At 49.5% G+C, this 22,214-nt stretch overlaps 2 protein-coding genes across 4 annotated transcripts in view, besides 37 other annotated features; one reads left to right on the top strand and one right to left on the bottom strand.

Annotated features, from left to right (window-relative positions):
- Window positions 4,144–4,787: an enhancer, noted in NCBI's record as "H3K27ac-H3K4me1 hESC enhancer chr12:53358683-53359326 (GRCh37/hg19 assembly coordinates)". NCBI's record gives its function as "activates a minimal SCP1, AML or CMV promoter by ChIP-STARR-seq in naive H9 embryonic stem cells {active_cell/tissue: H9 hESC(naive)}" and the evidence as "EXISTENCE:reporter gene assay evidence [ECO:0000049][PMID:30033119]".
- Window positions 12,980–16,628: a locus control region, noted in NCBI's record as "3.5 kb portion of locus control region". NCBI's record gives its function as "required for copy number-dependent, insulated expression in liver" and the evidence as "EXISTENCE:transgenic organism evidence [ECO:0001131][PMID:7681143]".
- Window positions 12,980–21,647: a locus control region, noted in NCBI's record as "8.5 kb fragment; contains enhancers and other regulatory elements for tissue-specific, copy number-dependent, and integration site-independent expression". NCBI's record gives the evidence for it as "EXISTENCE:transgenic organism evidence [ECO:0001131][PMID:7681143]".
- Window positions 12,980–21,921: a biological region, named in NCBI's record as "KRT18 locus control region". NCBI's record gives its function as "regulatory_interactions: KRT18".
- Window positions 16,780–20,831, bottom strand: KRT18 (keratin 18). Of its 2 annotated transcripts, NM_199187.2 has the most exons (8): window positions 20,748–20,831; window positions 20,096–20,513; window positions 19,276–19,358; window positions 18,780–18,936; window positions 18,041–18,205; window positions 17,830–17,955; window positions 17,344–17,567; window positions 16,780–16,964 (listed from the first exon to the last, which is right to left on the bottom strand). In NM_199187.2, exons 2-8 carry the CDS (start codon window positions 20,510–20,512, stop codon window positions 16,844–16,846), a joined length of 1,293 nt encoding a protein of 430 aa, NP_954657.1. In that variant the 5' UTR covers window position 20,513; window positions 20,748–20,831; the 3' UTR covers window positions 16,780–16,843. The 2 variants fall into 2 exon arrangements, with proteins under 2 accessions (NP_954657.1, NP_000215.1); NM_000224.3 differs by lacking the exon at window positions 20,748–20,831 and having other exon boundaries at window positions 20,096–20,568.
- Window positions 17,156–17,756: a DNaseI hypersensitive site, noted in NCBI's record as "HSS g; the nucleotide coordinates are approximate for this feature". NCBI's record gives the evidence for it as "EXISTENCE:in vivo cleavage assay evidence [ECO:0001075][PMID:7680099]".
- Window positions 17,361–17,541: a transcriptional cis regulatory region, noted in NCBI's record as "construct 10 fragment for positive regulatory element in exon 6". NCBI's record gives the evidence for it as "EXISTENCE:transcriptional activation assay [ECO:0000170][PMID:7680099]".
- Window positions 17,470–17,503: a transcriptional cis regulatory region, noted in NCBI's record as "33 bp K19/K18 substitution region". NCBI's record gives its function as "promotes expression of KRT18 in liver and intestine" and the evidence as "EXISTENCE:knockout evidence [ECO:0001091][PMID:9346889]" and "EXISTENCE:transcriptional activation assay [ECO:0000170][PMID:9346889]".
- Window positions 17,475–17,481: a protein binding site. NCBI's record gives the evidence for it as "EXISTENCE:nuclease protection assay evidence [ECO:0001106][PMID:9346889]".
- Window positions 18,963–20,162: an enhancer, noted in NCBI's record as "CDK7 strongly-dependent group 2 enhancer chr12:53343308-53344507 (GRCh37/hg19 assembly coordinates)". NCBI's record gives its function as "activates an origin of replication core promoter dependent on BRD2, BRD4, P300/CBP, MED14 and CDK7 cofactors, with strong dependence on CDK7, by STARR-seq in HCT116 cells {active_cell/tissue: HCT116}" and the evidence as "EXISTENCE:reporter gene assay evidence [ECO:0000049][PMID:35650434]".
- Window positions 19,351–20,096: a DNaseI hypersensitive site, noted in NCBI's record as "HSS d, e and f; the nucleotide coordinates are approximate for this feature". NCBI's record gives the evidence for it as "EXISTENCE:in vivo cleavage assay evidence [ECO:0001075][PMID:7680099]".
- Window positions 19,397–20,051: an enhancer, noted in NCBI's record as "600 bp sequence in intron 1". NCBI's record gives the evidence for it as "EXISTENCE:knockout evidence [ECO:0001091][PMID:7526151]" and "EXISTENCE:reporter gene assay evidence [ECO:0000049][PMID:1696235, PMID:7537848]".
- Window positions 19,525–19,539: a silencer, noted in NCBI's record as "N-beta negative regulatory element (Nbeta15)". NCBI's record gives its function as "decreases reporter gene expression in F9 embryonal carcinoma cells" and the evidence as "EXISTENCE:reporter gene assay evidence [ECO:0000049][PMID:7526151]".
- Window positions 19,643–19,661: a silencer, noted in NCBI's record as "N-alpha negative regulatory element (Nalpha18)". NCBI's record gives its function as "decreases reporter gene expression in F9 embryonal carcinoma cells" and the evidence as "EXISTENCE:reporter gene assay evidence [ECO:0000049][PMID:7526151]".
- Window positions 19,643–19,661: a protein binding site, noted in NCBI's record as "N-alpha negative regulatory element". NCBI's record gives the evidence for it as "EXISTENCE:protein binding evidence [ECO:0000024][PMID:7526151]".
- Window positions 19,696–19,795: an enhancer, noted in NCBI's record as "E100 fragment". NCBI's record gives the evidence for it as "EXISTENCE:knockout evidence [ECO:0001091][PMID:9756890]" and "EXISTENCE:reporter gene assay evidence [ECO:0000049][PMID:1696235, PMID:7526151]".
- Window positions 19,731–19,777: a conserved region, noted in NCBI's record as "conserved region". NCBI's record gives its function as "required for enhancer activity" and the evidence as "COORDINATES:sequence alignment evidence [ECO:0000200][PMID:1696235]".
- Window positions 19,745–19,751: a protein binding site. NCBI's record gives its function as "promotes enhancer activity" and the evidence as "EXISTENCE:nuclease protection assay evidence [ECO:0001106][PMID:7508123]".
- Window positions 19,760–19,769: a protein binding site, noted in NCBI's record as "blocked by DNA cytosine methylation". NCBI's record gives its function as "promotes enhancer activity" and the evidence as "EXISTENCE:nuclease protection assay evidence [ECO:0001106][PMID:7508123, PMID:7526151]" and "EXISTENCE:protein binding evidence [ECO:0000024][PMID:9271368]".
- Window positions 19,826–22,214, top strand: part of KRT8 (keratin 8) — a 52,670-nt gene continuing 50,281 nt past the window's right edge. The window contains exon 1 of one of the 2 annotated variants that reach the window (NR_045962.2): window positions 19,826–20,230. The gene's annotated coding sequence lies outside the window, so the exon portion shown is untranslated. The remainder of the gene's footprint in view (window positions 20,231–22,214) is intronic. The other variant, NM_001256293.2, reaches the window with a different exon arrangement.
- Window positions 19,885–19,908: a silencer, noted in NCBI's record as "N-gamma negative regulatory element". NCBI's record gives its function as "decreases reporter gene expression in F9 embryonal carcinoma cells" and the evidence as "EXISTENCE:reporter gene assay evidence [ECO:0000049][PMID:7526151]".
- Window positions 19,986–20,579: an enhancer, noted in NCBI's record as "NANOG-H3K27ac-H3K4me1 hESC enhancer chr12:53342891-53343484 (GRCh37/hg19 assembly coordinates)". NCBI's record gives its function as "activates a minimal SCP1, AML or CMV promoter by ChIP-STARR-seq in primed H9 embryonic stem cells {active_cell/tissue: H9 hESC(primed)}" and the evidence as "EXISTENCE:reporter gene assay evidence [ECO:0000049][PMID:30033119]".
- Window positions 20,511–21,334: a DNaseI hypersensitive site, noted in NCBI's record as "HSS a, b and c; the nucleotide coordinates are approximate for this feature". NCBI's record gives the evidence for it as "EXISTENCE:in vivo cleavage assay evidence [ECO:0001075][PMID:7680099]".
- Window positions 20,539–20,600: a promoter, noted in NCBI's record as "minimal KRT18 promoter". NCBI's record gives the evidence for it as "EXISTENCE:reporter gene assay evidence [ECO:0000049][PMID:7537848]".
- Window positions 20,570–20,619: a silencer, noted in NCBI's record as "silent region_4489". NCBI's record gives its function as "represses an Ori minimal core promoter by ATAC-STARR-seq in GM12878 lymphoblastoid cells {active_cell/tissue: GM12878}" and the evidence as "EXISTENCE:reporter gene assay evidence [ECO:0000049][PMID:35858748]".
- Window positions 20,580–21,173: an enhancer, noted in NCBI's record as "NANOG-H3K27ac-H3K4me1 hESC enhancer chr12:53342297-53342890 (GRCh37/hg19 assembly coordinates)". NCBI's record gives its function as "activates a minimal SCP1, AML or CMV promoter by ChIP-STARR-seq in primed H9 embryonic stem cells {active_cell/tissue: H9 hESC(primed)}" and the evidence as "EXISTENCE:reporter gene assay evidence [ECO:0000049][PMID:30033119]".
- Window positions 20,599–20,634: a protein binding site. NCBI's record gives its function as "stimulates promoter activity" and the evidence as "EXISTENCE:protein binding evidence [ECO:0000024][PMID:7537848]".
- Window positions 20,660–20,739: a silencer, noted in NCBI's record as "silent region_4488". NCBI's record gives its function as "represses an Ori minimal core promoter by ATAC-STARR-seq in GM12878 lymphoblastoid cells {active_cell/tissue: GM12878}" and the evidence as "EXISTENCE:reporter gene assay evidence [ECO:0000049][PMID:35858748]".
- Window positions 20,750–20,869: a silencer, noted in NCBI's record as "silent region_4487". NCBI's record gives its function as "represses an Ori minimal core promoter by ATAC-STARR-seq in GM12878 lymphoblastoid cells {active_cell/tissue: GM12878}" and the evidence as "EXISTENCE:reporter gene assay evidence [ECO:0000049][PMID:35858748]".
- Window positions 20,805–21,647: a locus control region, noted in NCBI's record as "5' portion of locus control region". NCBI's record gives its function as "regulates integration site-independent and copy number-dependent expression; required for tissue-specific expression of KRT18" and the evidence as "EXISTENCE:transgenic organism evidence [ECO:0001131][PMID:7692231]".
- Window positions 20,810–20,892: a promoter, noted in NCBI's record as "Lazarus element". NCBI's record gives its function as "cryptic promoter in the absence of the canonical promoter, or a positive regulatory element in the presence of the intron 1 enhancer" and the evidence as "EXISTENCE:reporter gene assay evidence [ECO:0000049][PMID:9756890]" and "EXISTENCE:transgenic organism evidence [ECO:0001131][PMID:9756890]".
- Window positions 20,810–20,892: a transcriptional cis regulatory region, noted in NCBI's record as "Lazarus element". NCBI's record gives its function as "positive regulatory element in the presence of the intron 1 enhancer, or a cryptic promoter in the absence of the canonical promoter" and the evidence as "EXISTENCE:reporter gene assay evidence [ECO:0000049][PMID:9756890]" and "EXISTENCE:transcriptional activation assay [ECO:0000170][PMID:9756890]".
- Window positions 20,862–21,236: an enhancer, noted in NCBI's record as "Alu2 element". NCBI's record gives its function as "enhancer (PMID:7667273) or enhancer blocker and insulator (PMID:10625605)" and the evidence as "EXISTENCE:reporter gene assay evidence [ECO:0000049][PMID:7667273]".
- Window positions 20,862–21,236: an enhancer blocking element, noted in NCBI's record as "Alu2 element". NCBI's record gives its function as "enhancer (PMID:7667273) or enhancer blocker and insulator (PMID:10625605)" and the evidence as "EXISTENCE:reporter gene assay evidence [ECO:0000049][PMID:10625605]" and "EXISTENCE:transgenic organism evidence [ECO:0001131][PMID:10625605]".
- Window positions 20,897–21,171: a mobile genetic element.
- Window positions 20,901–20,980: a promoter, noted in NCBI's record as "RNA polymerase III promoter, including A and B boxes". NCBI's record gives the evidence for it as "EXISTENCE:transcriptional activation assay [ECO:0000170][PMID:7692231, PMID:10625605]".
- Window positions 20,946–20,967: a protein binding site, noted in NCBI's record as "includes three HREs (hormone response elements); consensus sequence AGGTCA". NCBI's record gives its function as "promotes enhancer activity" and the evidence as "EXISTENCE:protein binding evidence [ECO:0000024][PMID:7667273]".
- Window positions 20,970–20,980: a promoter, noted in NCBI's record as "RNA polymerase III promoter B box element". NCBI's record gives its function as "required for expression of associated Alu element; activity promotes copy number dependent expression of KRT18 gene" and the evidence as "EXISTENCE:transcriptional activation assay [ECO:0000170][PMID:7692231, PMID:10625605]".
- Window positions 21,627–21,921: a silencer, noted in NCBI's record as "tiled region #294; HepG2 Repressive non-DNase unmatched - State 2:TssF". NCBI's record gives its function as "represses a minimal TATA promoter and a strong SV40 promoter by Sharpr-MPRA in HepG2 cells {active_cell/tissue: HepG2}" and the evidence as "EXISTENCE:reporter gene assay evidence [ECO:0000049][PMID:27701403]".

Genomic DNA, 22,214 nt, shown 5'->3' with positions numbered 1-22,214 from the left:
GGATCATTTGAGGTCAGGCGTTTGAGACCAGCTTGGCCAACGTGGTGAAATCCTTGTCTCTACTAAAAATACGAAAATTAGCTGGGCGTGGTGGTGCACACCTGTAATCCCAGCTACTGGAGAGGCTGAGGCGGGAGAATCGCTTGAATCTGGGAGGTGGAGGTTGCAGTGAGCTGAGAAGCCGAGACCACGCCACTACACTCCAGCCTGGGTGACAGAGTAAGACTCCGTCTCAAAAAAAAAAAAAAAAACAAATTCTTCCTGGGCTTTCTTAAAGCTGGGGTGTGTGTGAAGCGAAGCTGAGGAAGTTCAATTGTTCTCCCACTAAGTTCTCTTTCCTGGAACAAAGAGGACCTGCAAAGAGAGTGAGAGGACTGCTGGCATCTTGAAATATTCTTCTACTCTCCTTTGTCCTCTTTTCCTTGGGTGAGGCATGCAGAGACTCCTCTTGGTTTGTTATTTGCTCATTTATTTGTTCATTCATTTGCTTATTCATTCAAAAGCTAGTAAGAGAAGATTGTTAAATTTGAAAATTTTGCTTCCCAGAATTAAACCATTTTAAATCAACCATGACAGCAGTATTTATACCTTGGATATTGGCAAATGCTATAGGTTATTAAATAAAATAAAATAACATTTTATTTACAATTTAATAAAAATTACAATTTCAAATTTTTGTCTTTAAAAAAGAAAATAACAACCTGCTGTTTATGTGTTGGAATTGTGTTATGTATCAGGGCATAAGAGTGAACAAGATAGTCCAGTCTCTGCTCAAAGGGAGCTTACAGTCTGGTGCTGCACTGTCCTGTCCAATCTGGTAGCCATTAGCTACTAGCTACTGCTGTGGTTATTAATTTATTTTTTAAAGTTTTTAATTTTGGCTGAGTCTGGTGGCTCATGCCTGTAATCCCAGCGCTTTGGGAGGCCGAGGCAGGTGGATCACCTGAGGTTAGGAGTTCGAGACCAGTCTGGCCAACATGGCGAAACCCCGTCTCTACTCCAAATCCAAAAAAAAAAAAAAAAAAAAAAAATTAGCCAGGTGTGGTGGTGGGCGCCTGTAATCCCAACTACTCGGAAGACTGAGGCAGGAGAATCACTTGAACCTGGGAGGCGGAGGTTGCAGTGAGCCGAGATTGAGCCAGTGCACTCCAGCCTGGGCAACAAGAGTGAAACTCTGTCTCAAAAAAAAAAAAGTTTTTAATTTTTGTGGGTACCCAGTATGTGTATCTATTTTAGGGTACACGAGATATTTTGATACAGGCATACAATGCATAATAATCTCATCAGGGCATCCATCACTTCAAGCATTTATCCTTTATGTTACAAACAATCCAATTATACTCTTTTAGTTATTTTTAAATGTACAATAATTTATTTTTTTTGAGACGGAGTCTTGCTCCATTGCCCAGGCTGGAGTGCAATGGCATGATCTTGGCTCACTGCAACCTCTGCCTCTCGGGTTCAAGCAATTCCCCTGCCTCAGCCTCCCGAGTAGCTGGGATTACAGGCATGCACCACCATGCCTGGCTAATTTTTGTATTTTTAGTAGAGACGGGGTTTTACCATGTTGGTCAGGCACGTCTTGAACTCCTGTCCTTGTGATCTGCCCGCCTCAGCCTTCCAAAGTGCTGGGATTACAGGCATGAGCCACTGCACCCAGCCTTAGGCTGGTGCTTTTTAAACTTTTTTTGCTTCTGGGGAGTGGGTGATAGGGAAAGTTCTGCCAGCCTGGGAGGGGCCCACTAGAGCCTGCTGCTCCAGTGTGGATTGTGGGGAGAGGAAAAGGAACTGTGTGCTTTGGGCCCAGATCACTGGAGTGCCCTGAGTCTCTGAGAAGTTTACCCTACATCCCTCCTGTGGCAGCACCATCCACTTCACCAGGATCTGACCAGGGCCTTCAGGGGGACACAGCCTCCCCGGATCTGAGCATCACTATCATTCTAATTCCTTGGGCTGTTTCTGTGTAGATAATTATTTTCCAGCTCATTCAGGCAGGTGAGGTTGAGGCCAGCAGTGCAGCTAAATCCTTACACCGTGACTGGGGCTGCTTTTATACAGGTTAGGGGAAGAATAATCACTTATGGCTGAAATCTAATGGAAGAGGGAGTTCTGTGTAACTCTAGTGGGCAGAGCTGAGTTTAGAAGGTTAGTAGGAGGCAGATTTCAGCCCAGTAGAAGGAACAATAATGTTCCAGTAATTATACAATTATTATCCAACAGGGGCTATACTGTCATAAATTCTTCAAACGGAGGCCAGATGTTAGGAAGGCCACAAAGAGGATTCCTACTGGGAGAGGCCAAACTTGAACCATCTGTTTATTTATTTTATTTTATTTATTTATTTTTTTGAGAATGGAGTTTCACTCTTGTCACCCAGGCTGGAGTGCAATGGCACAAACTTGGCTCACTGCAACCTCCGCCTCCCGGGTTCAGGTGATTCTTTTGCCTCAGCCTCCCAAGTAGCTAGGATTACAGGCATGCACCACCACGCCTGGCTAATTTTGTATTTTTAGTAGAGACGGGGTTTCTCTATGTTGGTCAGGCTGGTCTCGAACTCTTGACCTCAGGTGATCCACCCACCTCGGCCTCCCAAAGTGCTGGGATCAGAGGTGTGAGCCACCACACCGAGCTGGTAAGTATATTTTTATTTTTATTACTATTTTTTTTGAGACAGAGTCTTGCTCTGTTGCCCAAGGCTGGAGTGCAATGGCAAGATTTCAGCTCACTGCAAACTCCGCCTCCCAGGTTCAAGCAATTCTTCTGCCTCAACCTCCCAAGTAGCTGGGAATACAGGCGCATGCCACCACGCCTGGCTATTTTTTTTTTTTTTTTGTATTTTTAGTAGAGACAGGGTTTCACCATATTGGCCAGGCTGGTCTTGAACTCGTGACCTCGTGATCCGCCCGCCTCAGCCTCCCAAAGTGTTGGGATTACAGGCGTGAGCCACCGCGCTGGGAGGTGTATTTTTAAACTTAGAAAAAACGGCCCAACTGTTTTCCAAAGTAGTTGTACACGTTTTGTATTCCCACCAGCAACATATGAGGGTTTCATTGCTCTGCATTCTACTTATTTATTTATTTATCTTTGTGACAAGATCTCACTCTGTCACCCAGGCTGGAGTGCAGTGGTGCAAACATGGGTCACTGCAGCCTCAACCTCTGGGGCTCAGGCAATCCTCCCGTCTGGGCCCCTTGTGTAGCTGGGACCAAAGGCACACGCGACCACGCCAGGTGAATTTTAAAATTTTTTGTAGAGATGGAGTCTTACTTTGTTGCCCAGCCTGTTTTTCAACCCCTGGTCTCAAGCAGTCCTCCTGCCTCAGCCTCCCGAGTTGCTGGGATAACAGGTGCGCACCACCAAGGCAGGCTAATTTTTTTAAATTTTTAAATTTAATTTAATTAATTTGGTTATTTATTTTGAGACGGAATCTCGCTCTGTCGCCCAGGCTGGAGTGCAGTGGCGAGATCTCGGCTCACTGCAAGCTCCGCCTCCCGGGTTCACGCCATTCTCCTGCCTCAGCCTCCTGAGTAGCTGGGACTACAGGCGCCTACCACCACGCCCGGCTAATTTTTTATATTTTTAGTAGAGACGGGGCTTCACCGTGTTAGCCAGGATGGTCTCGATATCCTGACCTCGTGATCCGCCCACCTCGGCCTCCCAAAGTGCTGGGATTACAGGCGTGAGCCACTGCGCCCGGCCAAGGCAGGCTAATTTTTTATTATTCATATATTTATTTTGGGAGGAAGGTTGTTTTTTAATACTCAAATATTACCCCAAACGTGCACACATACACCCCTTGGTTTTTCCCCTTGAGGTTTATGATATTTAGAAAAGAACTCCCCCACCCTCTTAGGAGACGAGGGAGGTTGCAGGTGCCCCAGAACTCTCGGTGGGCTCTCCCAGGAGTCCCAGGACAAGCCGAAAACCAGGAGACTCTTGCAGTCAGGGGGCAACTGGGGAAGCGGCGGCGTGGGGCACAGGAGCGGTGCCCTGGGACCGGCGGGACGGCCCTGAGACCCCGGGGCTGGGAAGCAGCCGCAGCTGCCGAGCCGGGGACACCCAGGCACCACCCAATGGGAGCGCGCGGGAGCGAGGCAGGGGCAGCAGCGGAGAGAAAGGAGGGTATGGGCAGGATAGCGGCTTCCCAGAGCCGGGGAGCAGCTCCCTAACCTCACTGCGAGATCTTTAAGGAGGAGGGTTCCGCTTGCCCGCCCTCGGATCCTCCCTCGAGTAGAGTCCACCTCCTCCCCTCTCCTCCTCGGTCCCGGGCTTTGGCGCCTTCCCCCAGTCCCTCTCTGTCCCCCATCCTGTTCCGTCTTGGCAGTGGCTTTAAGGGGAATCCCACCCCGACGTAAAGGGGCTTTGTCCCCCAGCTCTCCTCGCCCCTTAGCCCCGCCTAGCCAGGAGTCAGGCCTCAGAGGGTCTGGTGGCTGGGAGGAGGGCGCTCCAGGGGCCAGGGGCTCGCGGAGGCCACTCGTGAGGGAGGACCAGCCTATGGACCTACGTGTGGCCGAGATCAGCGCGACTGAGATGCGGACAGAGAGTGAGACTCTCCAGGCTCAAATCCCTGGCAAGCCACTGGCGAACTGGCGTTCCTGGGCAAGTCCCTTAACCTCTCAGCTCCTTCATTTCCTCGCTCCTAAAATAGGGCTAAAGAGAGTGCATTCTTGGGATTGTTGGGAGGATTAAATGAATTAATATATGTCAAGCTTTTAGGACCCTATCTGGCCCAGGGTAAGTGCTACATAAGGTTTGATATTATTGTAAGCTGAGCACAGAATTCCAGTGTCCTCTTCCCAGGTGCCACGACTGCCCCTGCCCCTTCCTTCTCTGAAGGCCTGTCCCAATCTGGTTATGCTCACCAGAGATGAGAAGGGTCGTGCACAGACACTCACTCCCAGCTCCACCCAGTCCCTGGCCCTGGCCTGCGGCCTCTCTCCACTCCCAGCCCTTGGGGAAGCCCCAGCAACTCTTGATGAAGGAAGATGAAGTCAGCAACATTCCCATTGCACGTGGTCTGGGTCACCCACCAGAGTGAGAAAAGCTGAGAAGCTCTACACTCTGAATCCTTGTCCCAGCCCTGTCACTATCTCTGTGACCTTGAGTCAGTCACCCTCTGGGCCTCAGTTTTTTTATGAGTAAAATAAATTTATTCATTCAAAAATATTTTTACGGGTACATAATAGTTGTACATAAAAGATACTCTTGGCCAGGCGCAGTGGCTCACGCCTGTAATCCCAACACTAAAAAATTAGCCAGGCGTGGTGGTGCATGCCTGTAATCCCAGCTACTCGGGAGGCTGAGGTGGGAGAATTGCCTGAACATGGGAGGCAGAGGTTGCAGTGAGCCGAGACCATGCCACTGTACTCCAGCCTGGGTGACAGAGCGAGACTCTGTCTCAAACAAACAAACAAAAAACAACCACTTACCACATGGCCCAGCATCTCACTCCTAGGTACCCAAGAGAAATGAAAACTACTCAAGAAAAATGAAATGAAAACGCAAAAATCCATACATTGAGTGTTTATGGCAACTTTATTCATAAATACCTCAAATCGGAAACAGTCTAAACATTTTTCAGCTGGTGAATAGATAAACAGATGGCAGTGCATGCACACAATGGAATATAACTCAACAAAAAAAGGAACTACTGTTACATGCAACAACACAGATGAATCTTTGTTTATTTATTTATTTACTTTTGGAGACAGGGTCTCGCTCTGTCACCCAGGCTGGAGTGCAGTGGCACCATCTCCACTCACTGCAACCTCTGCCTCCCAGGTTCAAGCGATTCTCGTGCCTCAGCCTCCCGAGTAGCTGAAATTACAGGGGTGCATCACCTCTCCCGGCTCATTTATTGTATTCTTAGGAGAGACGGGGTTTTGCCATGTTGGCCAGGCTGGTCTCGAACTGCCCTCCAGTGATCCGCTTGCCTCGGCCACCCAAATTCCTGGGCCAAGTTAAATGAATTTTTTTTTTTTTTTTTTGAGACGGAGTCTCTGTCTGTTGCTCAGACTGGAGTGCAATGGTGTGATCTCATCTCACTCTAACCTCCACCTCCTGGGTTCAAGCGATTCTCCTGCCTCAGCTTCTTAAGTAGCTGGGATTATAGGTGTGCACCACCACGCCTGGCTAATTTTTGTATTTTTAGTAGAGATGGGGTTTCACTATGTTGGCCAGGCTGGTCTCGAACTCCTGACCTCGTGATCTGCCCACCTTGGTCTCCCAAAGTGCTGGGATTACAGGCATGAGCCACCTTACCTGGCCATTTTTTTCTTGTTTATTTATTTATTTATCTTTTTGAGACAGAGTCTCACTCTGTTGCCCAGGCTGGAGTGCAGTGGCACGATCTCAGCTCACTGAAACCTCTGCCTCCCGGGTTCAAGTGATCCTCCTGCCTCAGCTTCCTGAGTAGCTGGAACTACAAGCATGCGCCACCATACCCAGCTAATTTTTGTATTTTTAGTAGAGACGGGGTTTCACCATGTTGGCCAGGCTGGTCTCAAACTCTTGACCTGGTGATCCGCCCACCTCAGCCTCCCAAAGTGCTGGGATTACAGATGTGAGCCACCACGCTCGGCCTTTTTTTTTTTTTTTTTTTTTTTTTTAATTCTTTAAGCTCACCAGTGCAGTTAAGCAGGCAGACCACACCAGGGCCTTTGATTTCCTTTCCCCACCATAACGATTTAATCTCAACAGTGTGTAGCCTGCCAAAGCCTTACCTTCAATAGGCCAGTCATTCCTGGTGATCCCAGGTAGTAAATTAATTTATTCATTTTGTCATTACATGTGATAACTGAGACTTCAGATATCCACTCTCAGATCCCTTCCTTGAAGGTATCATCCTGAATTCTAGTTGCAGGAAATAAACTACTCTAGCTGGTGGGGATCCTGAAGCTGACTGAACCCATGAACACAAATTGCAGCTGTGATCCATGGATCAGGAAACCACTACTGCTCCTTGTGGTTCAACTGTCTCACAATACTCAATACCTACAAAGCAAATGACTGGACACTGGACACTGCTCCAGAAAAATCCCACAGCCTCATGACCAGACGTGCTAGCAGGAACAATCAAAGCAGCAGAGGAGGGTCTTCACCTCACTTCCACTTTCCGAATCGTATTCATCTGCATCTAATTAGTGCGACATAATTCACTTCCTAGCTGCAAGGACATCTGGGAAATGCACTTTTTAGCTCTTTGGTTTCTGAAGCAGAAAGGTACCAATTTGGAATGGAGCTGAATGCCAATCCATTCCAACTACTGCCTTTGGATTTTGCAGCCAGACTGCCTGGGTTTGAATTCTGGCTTTGCCATTTATTTAGCTGTGAGACCTTAAGGAAGGTAGTTTACCTTTCTGAGCCTCAGTTTCTTCACCTGTAAAATGAGGATTGTAATACTATCCGTCTCATAGGGTTGTTGTTAGGATTAAGTGAATTAATATATGTAATGTGCTTAGCACAGTGCCTGACACATAGAAAGTGCTCAGTAAATACTGGTTACTGGCCAGGCGCGGTGGCTCATGCCTGTAATCCCAGCACTTTGGGAGGCCAAGGTGGGTGGATCACCTGAGGTCAGGAGTTTGAGACTAGCTTGGCCAACATGGTGAAACCCCATCTCTACTAAAAATACAAAAATTAGCCAGGCATGGTGGTGCACGCCTGTAATCCCAGCTACTTGGGAGGCTGAAGCAGGAGAATCACTTGAACCTGGGAGGCAGAGGTTGCAGTGAGCTGAGTTCGTGCCATTGCACTCTAGCCTGGGTGACAAGAGTGAAACTCTGTCCCCCCCAAAAAAAACCAAATACTGGTTATTATGGTAATTGCCATTGTTATATGACCAATCCAGGATGACACCAGGATGAAGAAAACAGGGTAGGCTGGGTGCGGTGGCTCACGCCTGGAATCCCAGGACTTTCAGAGGCTGAGGTGGGCAGATCACCTGAGGTCAGTAGTTTGAGACCAGCCTGGCCAACATGGTGAACCCCCCATCTCTACTAAACATACAAAAATGGTTGGGTGTGGTGGCGCATGCCTGTAGTCCCAGCTACTTGGGAGGCTGAGGCAGGGGAATCACTTGAACCCAGCAGGTGGAGGTTGCAGTGAGCTGAGATCACGCCATTGCACTCCAGCCTTGGCAACAAGAGTGAAACTGTCTCAAAACAAAACAAAACAAACAAACAAAAAACAATAACACAAACCAAAGAAACAAAAAAATAGGGTACCTGTCTTCAAGGCATTTCCAGTCTCATGGGGAAGATGACATAAATAGCTAAGTATGCCACATGATGAAATGAAACAAAGGCAGTTGGAAAATATAGCACGGTTCTGAAGCTCAAGAGAGGCTAGGGCTGGAGGTAAATATTGAGATACCAGCTCAGAGGTAGCAACAGAGTCAGGGAATAAAAATAAGATTGTCCATGGCCAGGCACGGTGGCTCACACTTGTAGTCCCAGCACTTTGGGAGGCTGAGGTGGGTGGATCACTTGAGGTCAAGAGTCCAAGACCAGCCTGGCCAACATGGTGAATCCCCATCTCTACTAAAAATACAGAAAATTAGCTGCCTGGTGGTGGGTACCTGTAATGCCAGCTGCTTGGGAGGCTGAGGTAGAAGAATCGCTTGAACCCCAAAGGTGGAGGTTGCAGTGAGCCAAGATTGTGCCACTGCACTCCAGCCTGGGCGACAGAGTTAGACTCCATCTCCAAAAAAAAAAAAAAAAGGCCCAAGAAGAGAAAAAGCTGAGGACAGCCTGCAAGGCCTGTGTTTAAAGGGCAGATGGATGAAGTGCAGCAGGCAGAGGTGAGAGGACTGCGGAGCGCAGTGGTGTGCAGGTCAAGAGCAGAAGGACATCAGGGTCAAGTGCTGCAGAGGCTGAAAAAGATGAGGAGAGAGGGGAGGCTGCTGGACTTAGACTGGTGGCCTGTGAGGGCCTTCAGTGGCAGGGTGCAGGGGGGATGAGGAGGAGCTTTGGGGCAAGGTACGTTGGCAGTCGACCCTTTCCCAATGCCCTGTGGGCCCCAAGGAGACCTAAGGGTACATACAAGGGCAAACCTGAATGTGCAGGTCGGGGGCTGAGAGATGCTGCTCATACACCCAGGACCCATCCTCGCTGCTGATCCCCAAGATATGCCAGGCTAGGTCCCTCATCTCCTTCAGTCTTGGCCCAATGTCACTTCCTGCCCAGGCTGCCCTACTTAAAACTGCAATCTGCTGGCCAGGCGTGGTGGCTCACGCCTATAATCCCAGCACTTTGGGAGGCTGAGGCAGGTGGATCACCTGAGGTTGGGATTTTGACACCAGCCTGATCAACATGGAGAAACCCCCATCTCTACTAAAAATACAAAATTAGCCTGGCATGGTGGCGCATGCCTGTAATCCCAGCTACTCGGGAGGCTGAGACATGAGAATCTCTTGAACCCGGGAGGCGGAGGTTGCAGTGAGCTGAGATTGAGCCATCGCACTCCAGCCTGGGCAACAAGAATGAAACTCCATCTCAAAAGAAAAACAAAAACAAAAAATCCTGCAATCTGCTGCCCCCTTCCTATGGTAGGCTGAATAATGGTCCCCTCCCATCCCAAGATGTCCATATCCTAACCGCCCCTCTTTGCCTGTGAGTTTCCTTACACAGCAACAGGGACCTTGCCATGTAAATCAAAGATCTTAAGTTGGGGAGATTATGCTCATTGTCTGGGTAAATCTAATGTCATCAAAGGATCCTTATAAGAAGGAGGCAGAAGGGTCAGAGAAAGGAGATGTGAGGATAATGGAAGCAGAAGTCAGGAGAGAGGGAAGTGGGGAGAGATTTGAAGATGCTGGCTTTAAAGATGGCAGATGGGACCAAGTCAAGGAATGCAGGTGACCTCTAGAAGCTGGAAAAGTCAAGGAAACCAGTTCCACCTACAACCTGTAGAAGGAAAATAGCTCTGCAGAAGCCCTGATAGGGCTTCTGATATACCAAACGGTAAGATAACAAACTGTAAGATAACGTGTACATTGTTTTTGTTGTTGTTGTTGTTGTTGTTGTTGTTTTTTGAGTCTCGCTCTGTCGCCCAGGCTGGGGTGCAGTGGTGCAATCTCCGCTCACTGCAAGCTCCGCCTCCCAGGTTCACTCCATTCTCCTGCCTCAGCCTCCTGAGTAGCTGGGACTACAGGCGCCCGCCACCACGCCCGGCTAATTTTTTTGTATTTTTAGTAGAGATGGGGTTTCACTGTGTTAGACAGGATGGTCTCGATCTCCTGACCTTGTGATCCTCCCACCTCAGCCTCCCAAAGTGCTGGGATTACAGGCGTGAGCCACCATGCCGATAACATGTATATTGTTTTAAGTCGCTAAGTTTATGGTAATTTGTTAGAGCAGTAATAGGAAACTAATATACTCCTACCCCACCAACTGCTGAGTCCTCATACCTTGCTCTATCTTTTCCCATAACACATACTCTTTCTAACATACTCTGTAATTTACTTGCTAAATTATCGTTTATTATGTCTCCATCTGCTAGAATTTAAACTCCACAAGAACAGGGATTTTTTTGGTCTGTTTTATTCACCACTGTATTCTCTGGACTTAGAACAGGTCTTAGTACACAGTAGGTGCTCAATAAATACTTATCGAATGACTGATTGAAAGAATATGGTGGAGCCAGGCATGGTGCCTCTACTAAAAATACAAAAAATTAGCCAGGCGTAGTGTGCACCTGCAATCCCAGTTACTTGGGAGGCTGAGGCATGAGAATTGGGAGGTGGAGGTTGCAGTGAGCTGAGATCGTGCTATTGTACTCCAGCCTGGGTGACAGAGCAAGACTTGTCTCAAAAAAAAAAAAAAAAAAAAAAAAAAGAAAGAAAAAAGAAATAAAAAAGAGTGGAACAAAGACAGCAGCAACATTTCCTTCCCTGGAATTCTGTAGATTCCTGTACCATTGAAAAGTTAACAATCGGCCGGGCGTGGTGGCTCACGCCTGTAATCCCAGCACTTTGGGAGGCCGAGGCGGGCGGATCACGGTGTCAGGAGATCGAGACCATCCTGGCTAACACAGTGAAGCCCCATCTCTACTAAAAATACAAAAAAATTAGCCGGGCATGGTAGCGGGCGCCTGTAGTCACAGCTACTTGGGAGGCTGAGGCAGGAGACTGGCGTGAACTTGGGAGGCGGAGCTTGCAGTGAGCCGAGATCGCGCCACTGCACTCCAGCCTGGGCGAGAGCGAGACTCCGTCTCAAAAAAAAAAAAAAAAAAAAAAAAAAAAAAAAAGGAAAGTTAACAATCCTTCCCTGCTTTCTTTGTAATTAGTAATAAGTAATTCAGAAGGTATAAAAGGACACACAATGTAAAGTAGTCTTCCTTCCCCCTTGTTTCCCCCCTACCAATTTCTCTCCCCGGAGGCAATCACGAATTCCAATTTCCTGTCTCCTTGTAGAGATGTTTGCATGTACAAGGGTATATACATATGAGTTGCTTTTTTCCCTCAAATGGCACTATATGCCATTCTGTATCTTCCAGTACCATTTATTAATTTTATCATCTGGGTTGGGTTGCACTTTGATAGAGAATGGATAAAATAGGACTGATATAATATGGAACAGATGACTCCATGTTATAACCTTGGGATTGATAATTTTAACCTTTGGTGCTTGGGGGACAAAATAGGCTGCCCCTCAGTCATCTTCCCATGCTGGGGAATGAGTAGGATTGTTCCAGAGGCCTCGGGATTTTCCAGCAGTGCGCTGTTTAAAATAGGCACAGCCAGCCTGGCACAGTGGCTCACACCTGTAATCTCAGCACTTTGGGAGGCCGAGGCGAGCGGATCATGAGGTCAGGAGTTCAAGACCAGCATGACCAACATGGTGAAACCCTGTCCCTACTAAAAATACAAAAATTAGCCAGGCGTGGTGGCGTGCACCTGTAATCCCAGCTACTTGGGAGGCTGAGGCAGGAGAATCACTTGAACCCAGGAGGCGGAGGTTGCAGTGAGCCAAGATCGCACCACTGCATTCCAGCCTGGGTGACAGAGTCTCATAAATAAATAAATAAATAAATAAATCTGACACAACCATAACCTGAATCAGGAAGGAATGTCATGCTGCAAACCCCAGGTACAGCTTGGGTCTGGCCCCCAACCTTGCCTGCCTATTGGAGTCACCTAGGGAGCTTTTCAAACATTTGCCCTGAGTCCTGCCCTCCAAACACCTGAATCAGAATCTCTGGTGCTGGGACCCAGGCCTCAGTATTGTTTGTAAAGCTTCCCGGGGATTCTATTGTGCAGCCCGCACAGTTAAGTTATAGCACACAGAGGAAAGACCTGCGGACTGGGAACCTGGAGATGTGGTTCCTGCTTTAAGCTTCCAGCTCTGTGACCTCAGACAAGTTGCATGATGCCTGTGGACCTCAGTATCCAACTCTCAGAGCCAGAGCCAATAATACCCACAGCCTTGCATACCTCACAGGATTGTAATGAGGATCAAATGCATAAGCACCCTGGGAACTGTGAGACATTGTCTAATGGGAGGGCTAATCGTATCAGGTGCATCGTCTTGGATTACTCTGATCAGCTTGACTCAGCTGCAAGTACTGCTCAGGCTCCCCAGGGACTTCCTGTTTTACCTTCAGTCAGCTGCGCATCCTATAACGTTGGCTGGTGTCTGTTTTTTGCAAAAACAAAGCTACTAAAGATCAAGATGGCCAGGCACGGTGGCTCACACCTATAATCCGAGTACTTTGGGAGGCCGAGGCAGGTGGATCACGAGGTCAGGAGTTCAAGGCCAGCCTGATCAACATGGTGAAAACCCCGTCTCTACTAAAAGATACAAAAAATTAGCTGGGCATGGTGGAGGGTGCCTGTAATCCCAGATACTCAGTAGGCTGAGGCAGGAGAATCGCTTGAACCTGGGAGGCAGAGGTTGGAGTGAGCCAAGATCGTGCCATTGCACTCCAGCCTGAGCGACAGGGTGAGACTCTGTCAAAAAAAAAAAAAAAAGAAAAGAAAAAGCTTTTAGGCTGGGCGTGGTTGCTCATGCCTGTAATCCCAGTACTTTGGGAGGCCAAGGCTGGTGGATTGCCTGAGCTCAGTTCGAGGCCAGCCTTGGCAACACGGTGAAACCCTGTCTCTACTAAAATACTAAAAATTAGCTGGGCATGGTGGCATGCACCTGTAGTCCCAGCTACTCGGGAGGCTGAGCCAGGAGAATTACTTGAACCCAGGAGGGAGAGGTTGCAGTGAGCTGAGATCATAGCACTGTACTCCAGCCTGGGCGACAGAGTGAGATTCTGTCTCAAAAAAAAAAAAAAAAAAAAAAAGATCAAGACATCCATTACTTAAAGACCTAGGTTAGGTTAATTAATTTGTACTCCACGCAGTAGAGTACTAAGCAGCTACTCAAATGAATGGGGCAGGTCTATGTATACTGATTCAGAAAGGTGTCCAAGATGTATTTTCATTTATTTTTATTTTTTGAGACAGAGTCTTGCTCTGTTGCCCAGGCTGGAATGCAGTGGTGGAATCTCGGCTCACTGCAAGCTCCGCCTTCCAGGTTCATTCCATTCTCCTGCTTCAGCCTCCAGAGTAGCTGGGACTACAGGTGCCCGCCACCATGCCCAGCTAATTTTTTTTGCATTTTTAGTAGAGATGGGGTTCCACTGTGTTAGCCAGGATAGTCTCGATCTCCTGATCTCGTGATCTGTCCGCCTCAGCCTCCCAAAGTGCTGGGATTACAGGCATGAGCCACCATGCCCAGCCCCGAGACGTATTGTTAAATGAAGAAAGTAGAATTTAAGAAATCAAAGCCAAGCATGGTGGCTCACGCCTGTAATCCCAGCACTTTGGGAGGCCGAGGCAGGTGGATCACAAGGTCAGGAGTTCGAGACCAGCCTGATCAACATGGTGAAACCCTGTCTCTACTAAAAATACAACAATTAGCCAGGCGTGGTGGTGGGTGCCTGTAATCCCAGCTACTCAGTAGGCTGAGGCAGGAGAATCGCTTGAACCCGGGAAGCAGAGGTGGCAGTGAGCCGTGATGGTGCCACTGCACTCCAGCCTGGGCGACAGAGTGAGACTCTGTCTCAATTAAAAAAAAATAAAAAAAGAAATCAAGATGCAGAGCTGGATAATTTTACATATATAAAACATAATGAAATGTGCTTGTATATGTCTAATTTTAAAAGGTATTTAACAGTGGTTACTTCTAGGGAGTGGAGAGGGGAGATTTTATTTTATTTAGTTTTATTTATTTATTTATTTGAGATGGAGTCTTGTTCTGTCACCCAGGCTGAAGTACAGTGGCGCGATCTTCACTCACTGCAACCTCTGCCTGCTGGGTTCAAGCAAATCTCCTGCCTCAGCCTCCCAAGTAGCTGGGACTACAGGTGTATGCCACTACGCATGGCTATTTTTTTTTTTTTTTTTTTTGAGACAGAGTCTTGCTCTGTTGCCAGGCTGGAGTGCAGTGGCTCGATCTCGTCTCACTGCAACCTCCAACTCCTTGGTTCAAGCGATTCTCCTGCCTCAGTCTCCCAAGTAGATAGGATTACAATCATGCGCCATCACGCCTGGCTAATTTTGTATTTTTAGTAGAGACAGAGTTTCTCCACTCCCAACCTCAGATGATCCACCCACCTTGGCCTCCCAAAGTGCTGGGATTACAGGCATGAGCCACCATGCCCAGCAAGATTTTAAATTTTATTTCATATATATGTGTGTGTGTGTGTATGTGTGTATGTATATATATATATATATGTATGTATATATGTATATATATACATACACACATATACACACACATATATGCACATATGTATATACACATATACACATATATACACATATACTCATATATACACATATACTCATATATACATATATACACACATATATACATACACACACATATATATATTATATATATATATTTTTTTGAGACAGAGTTTCGCTCTTGTTGCCCAGGCTGGAGTGCAATGGCATGATCTCGGCTTATTGCAACCTCCACCTCCTGGGTTCAAGCGATTCTCCTGCCTCAACTTCCCAAGTAGCTGGGATTATAGGCATGTGCCACCACACCCAGCTAATTTTGTATTTTTAGTAGAGACAGGGTTTCACCATGTTGGCCAGGCTGGTCTCGAACTCCTGACCTCAAGTTATCCGCCCGCCTTGGCCTCCCAAAGTGCTGGGATAACAGGCATGAGCCACCACACCCAGCTGCCTGGCTAATTTTTTGTACTTTTAATAGAGACAGAGTTTCACCATGTTAGCCAGGATGGCCTCAATCTCCTGACATTGTGATCTGCCCGCCTCGGCCTCCCAAATTGCTGGGATTACAGGCGTGAGCCACTGTGCCCGGCCAGCTTTTTTTTGTGAAACAGAGTCACACTCTGTTACCTAGGCTGAAATGCAGTGGCATGATCACAGCTTACTGCAACCTTTACTTCCTGGACTCAAGCAATCCTTCCACCTCAGCCTCCTGATTAAGTGGGACTACAGGTACATGTCACCATGCCTGGCTAATTTTTAAATTAAAAAAATTTTTTTTGCCTTAACCCAACATTTTAAAAATTAACCTAGGCCGGGCGTGGTGACTCACACCTGTAATCCAGCATTTTGGGAGGCCGAGGCGGGCGGATCACGAGGTCAGGAGTTCGAGACCAGCCTGGCCAACAAGGTGACACCCCGTCTCTACTAAAAATACAAAAATTAGCCAGGCATGGTGGCGGGCCCCTGAAATCCCAGCTACTCAGGAGGCTGAGGCAGAAGAATCCCTCGAACCCAGGAGGCAGTTGCAGTGAGCCCGGATCGCGCCACTGCACTCCAGCCTGGGTGACAGAGCAAGACTCTGCCTCAAAAAAAAAAAAAAAAAAAAAAAAAATTAACCTAACCTAGGTCTTTGAGTGATGGGTGCCTTGATCTTTAGTAGTTTTGTTTTGGCAAAACTGCTGCAACGAATATCTACATGTAATCATGTTGGGTTAGGGCATTTTCACACAAGTATGAAAACAGCCAAGGAAGACACAAAGTGGCATCCAATCACTCCAAAGGGTACAAGCGGGAGGATCACTTGAGGCCAGGAGTTCCAGACCAGCCTGGGCAATATAGTGAAATCCCAACTCTATGAAAAATTCAAAAATTAGCCGGGTGTGGTGGCACTGCTGGGATTACGGATGTGAGCCACTGTGCCCAGCCTCGGTTAGTTTTAAGATGCCCATCCTTACCTATACGGGTGCTTACTCAGGGGCACCTCTTTCCTAGATGGGAACTTCCATGATCATTTACTCAACTTCTAGCCAGACCTCTAGCACCCTAAAAATCATATCTCCGTTGAGTGAATGAACAGAGTTGAGGGCACCATAGGTTTGGAGGATGAGTATGGCCTGGGGTTGGAGGAAAAAACTGTGGGTGGGAAGCCCTGGGCAGTGGGCCAAGGGCATAAAGCAGCAGGGTAGGGGAGGGCCAGATGTGTCTCCCTGTCTCCTCTGTCCTCTGTCTTTGGCCTAATTTCCTCCTCTGGTTCAGATTTCTGCTAATGATCAGTCAGGGACCTTTTGAACACCAGATCGCTTCAAGGCAAAGATTCCACAATTCCCTTGTAGGGATCCCCACAGCCTGTGACCCATCACATCTACTGCTCCCTCCTCTGTCTCTCAGAAGTGTTTCCAAGAATACAGATCCCTCTTCCTTCTACACCCCAATCTATATGAAACCCTCAGGGGTCAGAGGTGGTTTCTGCTGGATCAGGGATGGGACTGTTGGGTTAGGGCATTTGTGCACAATGAAAACAGCCAAAAGAAGACAAAGTGACATCCAATGAACTCTGAACTTTTTATTGGCCTCCTGCTCCCCAAAGGGTACCCTGCTTCTGCTGGCTTAATGCCTCAGAACTTTGGTGTCATTGGTCTCAGACACCACTTTGCCATCCACTATCCGGCGGGTGGTGGTCTTTTGGATGGTTTGCATGGAGTTGCTGCTGTCCAAGGCATCACCAAGACTGTAACAGAAGACCAAGCCCAAGTTATAAACAGCCCCGTGGAGTAGAAGGGAGACAAGAAAGGTAGAGGGAAAAAGCCTCCTGACCTCTACCTTTATCTCCAAATCACCCTCAGCCTCTTCCTCCAGAAAAGGGAAACTCAAGGCCAAACTTCATTTGCATACTAAGTACAGCTAGGGACAATACTTAGTTTGCTTTCTTCAAGGGGGAGACCTCTGTAACTGTTACTCCCTTGAAGACACAGGAGCACCCACGGAGCAACGGCCCAGTGCTCAGTGGATACCAGTGAACAGACACATGGGGTGCTTCCAAAAGCTCAGACTTTGGGGAGAAGTGATCTCCTGATCCCAGCACGTGTGGGTAGGAGAGCCCCACTCACTTAAAGTCCTCGCCATCTTCCAGCAGGCGGCGGTAGGTGGCGATCTCAGCCTCCAGCTTGACCTTGATGTTCAGCAGGGCCTCATACTCCTGGGCCTGGCGCTGTCCCTCTGCCCGGGTCTGTGCCAGCTCTGACTCAAGGTGCAGCAGGATCCCGTTGAGCTGCTCCATCTGTAGGGCGTAGCGGGCCTCCACCTCCCTCAGGCTGTTCTCCAAGCTGGCCTTCTGCAGGGGCACAGAGAGGAGGGGCAGGGTGAGCCCAGAGTCCCAGGACTGCTCATCCCTTCACTTTTGGAAACTTTTTTGGGCACCTGCTATGTGCCAAGTACTGGGATAAGGGATAGGAGTGGAGGGAAATGCAAAGAGGAAACTGACTCTTTCTGAGCTAAAGGAACTCATGATATGAGGGATAGGATTTGGGTTGAGACAGGGTTGGGTCTGAGGCCAAGTGAAGGAGGAGCTGGGCAGGTGATGTGAAGGCACTCACCAGATTTCTCATGGAGTCCAGGTCGATCTCCAAGGACTGGACTGTACGTCTCAGCTCTGTGAGCGTCGTCTCAGCAGCTCCAACCTCAGCAGACTGTGTGGTGACCACTGTGGTGCTCTCCTCAATCTGCAGGATGGGGACAGTCCATCAGGCCCCTCATTCCGTCTGCCTCCCTCCCACACCTTGGCAGCCATCCCCTCCCCTCACGCACCTGCTGAGACCAGTACTTGTCTAGCTCCTCTCGGTTCTTCCGAGCCAGCTCGTCATATTGGGCCCGGATGTCTGCCATGATCTTGGCGAGGTCCTGAGATTTGGGGGCATCTACCTCCACGGTCAACCCAGAGCTGGCAATCTGGGCTTGTAGGCCTTTTACTTCCTAAAGGTGACAGGGGCAAAAGTGAGGAGGGTTCAGGGTCAGAGCTCCAACAAGGCCTTTCTTCTGTGATTGCCTCTTCTAGGAGGCCTACAGTTGGAGAAGAGACAGGAGGAACCCCTTGGCTTGCACTCAGGGCAATGCCAGTTCTGGCCTTTCTACTCCAGTGGGTAGAAATGCCACCCACTCACTGATGGTTTCTCTGTAACTTCACCCTGTTCCTTTATCCACCCTCCCCTTCACAAACCTGCTCCTTCTACCATCTTTTAGGAAGCGCTGCCAACTCCATCTGCTGTCATTCCTTTATCACCCCCAGCTCCTAGTGTTAGCTGCTTCTACTTCTGTTCTCATCTCATTTTCTAACCCATATCATTTTGACCTGTAATTCAGGTGAGCCAGGGTGTACTCGACCCCCTGAGAATGCTCTTCATCAGAACGGTCTTATTTAAGAAGAGCCCAGGCTGCTATTTCTAAACGTCTTAGCAAGGCTACTTGCAGTTGGTTTGTCTTGTCTATTCTCCGACCCAGACTTCTCTTGGCCCCTCAATCCCTGGCCTGGCCAGTGGCCCCTGCTTGCCTCTTCGTGGTTCTTCTTCATGAAGAGCAGCTCCTCCTTGAGAGCCTCGATCTCTGTCTCCAGCTGCAGTCGTGTGATATTGGTGTCATCAATGACCTTGCGGAGCCCATGGATGTCGTTCTCCACAGACTGGCGCATGGCCAGCTCTGTCTCATACCTATAGGAGTGGAGGTGATCAGAGGGGCCCCTATCTCTGATCCAGAACCTTCTCAACTCATGCCACCTACTAAGAGAAGTTCTGTGCCCATTGCAAACCAGCAACTTGAGTCAGCAATTAGGTGGTAATCCCCTGAGCACCATTCTTGGCACTTGGAGGACAGTATTCTTAAACGGGGTTATACAAATGAACAGTTAAATGAATACACTGATGGACCCTGACTCTCATCCACCCACACCTAACAGGATCCCACTGTGAGCCCCTAACTGACCCAGCCTGGGGAGCAGATCCTTCTTAGCTCCACCCCTGGACCCCCAGCTCTCTAGCCCCCAAACTTACTTGACTCTAAAGTCATCAGCAGCAAGACGGGCATTGTCAATCTGCAGAACGATGCGGGCATTGTCCACAGTATTTGCGAAGATCTGGAGGGATTGTAGAGAGAGGTTGTTCCATGAATAGAAAGCCAGGGATGGGTGGGGTGAGTGTGTAAAAAGTGTTATGTATCCTAGTGAAAACTTCCTGGTCCCAGGAATAGCCAGAGGCTCTCCCTGGACACCTATCCCTTTTCATCTAGCCCCACCCCATTCCCTCCTTTCCTGGATTCCCAGATCCCAGCACTCTGCCCCTCTTGGGAAGCCTCAGCAGGCTGGCTAGCTGGCTGGCCTGCCTGCCCAGAAGTGAGTCGCTACTAACAAGTCCTCTTCCTGGCCCTCTCCTGGCATTTTTTCCCTAGTGCACCTGGTCACTCTGGGCCCCCTACACCCTGGATTGGCTCCTCCCAAAGGAAGGCCTCTTGTTTACTCCTAGATGACTCAGCCTTAGCCACATCCGCTTAACCCTCCAATAGTCCCCATTCCGCCAGAGCCAGTGTCTCCTCCTCTTTACAGGCCTTTCCTTACCTCCCTCCATGCTGTCCACTTCCTCTGTAAAGCTCTCAACCCTGTCCCCTTCCCCCTCTCTCCTGGGAAAGAGCCCTCCCATGCCTAGCTGCTGCTCTTAGGGACCCTGTGGCTAGGTGCGCGGATGGAAATCCAGGTATGCCCAACCCCCTCCCGGTGGAGTAGGGGTTGGGTGGTTATGGAATGACGGAAAGAGGCAAAGGAGTGTATAATTGGAGGGTCAGACAAGGCTGGGAGTTGAGGTCCCTCCTACCCCTTACCTGAGCCCTCAGGTCCTCGATGATCTTGAAGTAATGGCTCCAGTCTCTGACCTGGGGTCCCTTCTTCTCCAAGTGCTCCCGGATTTTGCTCTCCAGCCTCCGGTTCTCGGTCTCCAGGCTCCTCACTCTGTCCAGGTAAGAGGCCAGGCGGTCGTTCAGGCTTTGCATGGTCTCCTTCTCGTTCTGGATGCCTCCCATTCCTGCCAGACCCCCGGCTATCCCGGTGGCCAGGCCCCCGGACCCCATGCCGCCCCTGAAGCTGGTGGAGCGGGACACGGAGATCCGGGAACCAGAGCCCCCAGCGCCTGCATAGACGCTGGCCGCGCTGCTGACCGGCCGGGCGCCGTAGCTGGGCGCCTGGACAGAGCCCAGGGACCGGTAGTTGGTGGAGAAGGTGGAGCGAGTGGTGAAGCTCATGCTGTCCGGGGAGAGAGAAAGGACAGGACTCAGGCTTTGCGGACGACGGTGGCGGCCTGCGCGAGCCGCGCGACCCGAGTTATATCGCAGAGTGAGGCCCCGCCCCCGCCCCGGAGCCGCTTCGGAAGCCGGAGCCACAGGTGGACGGCTCGGAGCCCGCGCCCTCCGCCCCGGGCCGCTCCGCCCCGGGCCCCACCCCCGCGCCCTCCGCGCAGCCCTGCCAAGCCCCGCTCACCCCCCAGAAACGGGGTGGCCAACCGGGCATGGACACGGACAGCAGGTGTTGTTGGCCCTCGAGGCTGCTTTCAGGGCAGGAAATGACGTTATTATGCTCTTCTCCCCCAGGTGGAGGAGGTGCTGGCGAGTTTGAAATTTGGGAGTCTTGACCGGGCGCAGTGGCTCACGCCTGTAATCTCAGCACTTTGGGAGGCCTAGGTGGGCGGATCACGAGGTCAGGAGATCGAGACCATCCTAGCCAACATGGTGAAACCCCCTCTCTACTAAAATACAAAAAATTAGCCGGACGTGATGGTGCACGCCTGTAGTCTCAGCTACTTGGGAGGCTGAGGAAGGGGAATCGCTTGAACCTGGGAGGCGGAGGTTGCAGTGAGCCGAGATCGCGCCACTGCAGCCTGGCGACAGAGTGAGACTCTGTCTCAAAAAAAAAAAAAAAAAAAAAGAAAAAAGAAATTTGGGGGTCTGGTGGTGTGCGGGTGGAATGGCCTGTGAGTCCCTCTAGCTGTCCTTAACCTGCAGCCCAAATTATCCACTTGTGGAGGGGATCTTGGGGGCATCCTGGAGCCCCAGGAGTCCCGGGGAAGAAAGGCTGGGAGCTGGAGAAGAGGAGGAGAAGCAATGCCCAGCCTCATAGCTGCTTGCTTACACACTCACACCCCAGCTGCACCTGGCTCCCAAACACTCCTCGCCTGCCCACGTTTCCTCACACACACTCACACCCGAATCATACAGAGGTGTGCTCTCAAATGCACACACACATACATTCACTCAGCAAATAGGTGCAGACTCCCCAAAACAAACCCAGTCTCTGAGCCCCCTCCACCACCCTCCCCTCTCCCGACCTCACTCCCAAGGGCCTTGCCTCAGTGGAACACTGTGATTTGGACAGGGAATGCATCCTGACTTCTGCACACCGGTATATCACCTTTCCTGCATCCTTAATTAAACAAATCCTGAGCATTTACAATTCAACCAGTATGCATTCAGCACCTACTGTGAGCCAGGCCCAGTTCTAGGAGCTGGGAGAGAAGGGCGGTGACAAAAGAGACCAAAAATCTCTCACAGAGATGATAATGTGTCCCACATCGCCGGGCACAGTGGCTCATGCCTGTAATCCAAGCACTTTGGGAGGCCGAGGCGGGTGGATCACTTGAGGTCAAGAGTTCGATGCCACTGCACTCCAGCCTAGACAACAGAGCAAGACTCTGTCTCAAAAAAAAAAAAAAAAAAAAAAAATTTGAGACCAGCCTGACCAACATGGTGACACCCCTTCTCTACTAAAAATACAAAAATTAACCAGGCACAGTGTGTGCCTGTAATCCCAGCTACTCAGGAGGCTGAGGCAGGAGAATCGCTTGAACCCAGGAGGCAGAGGTTGCAGTGAGCCAAGATCGTGCCGTCGCGCTCCAGCCTGGGCAACCAGAGCGAAACTCTGACTCAAAATAAATAAATAAATAAATAAATA

Source organism: Homo sapiens, chromosome 12 (genome assembly GCF_000001405.40).
Source record: "Homo sapiens chromosome 12, GRCh38.p14 Primary Assembly".
NCBI lineage: Eukaryota > Metazoa > Chordata > Mammalia > Primates > Hominidae > Homo > Homo sapiens.
The sequence above is the reverse complement of the archived record's forward strand: the minus strand, read 5'-3'. Positions and strand labels throughout refer to the sequence as shown.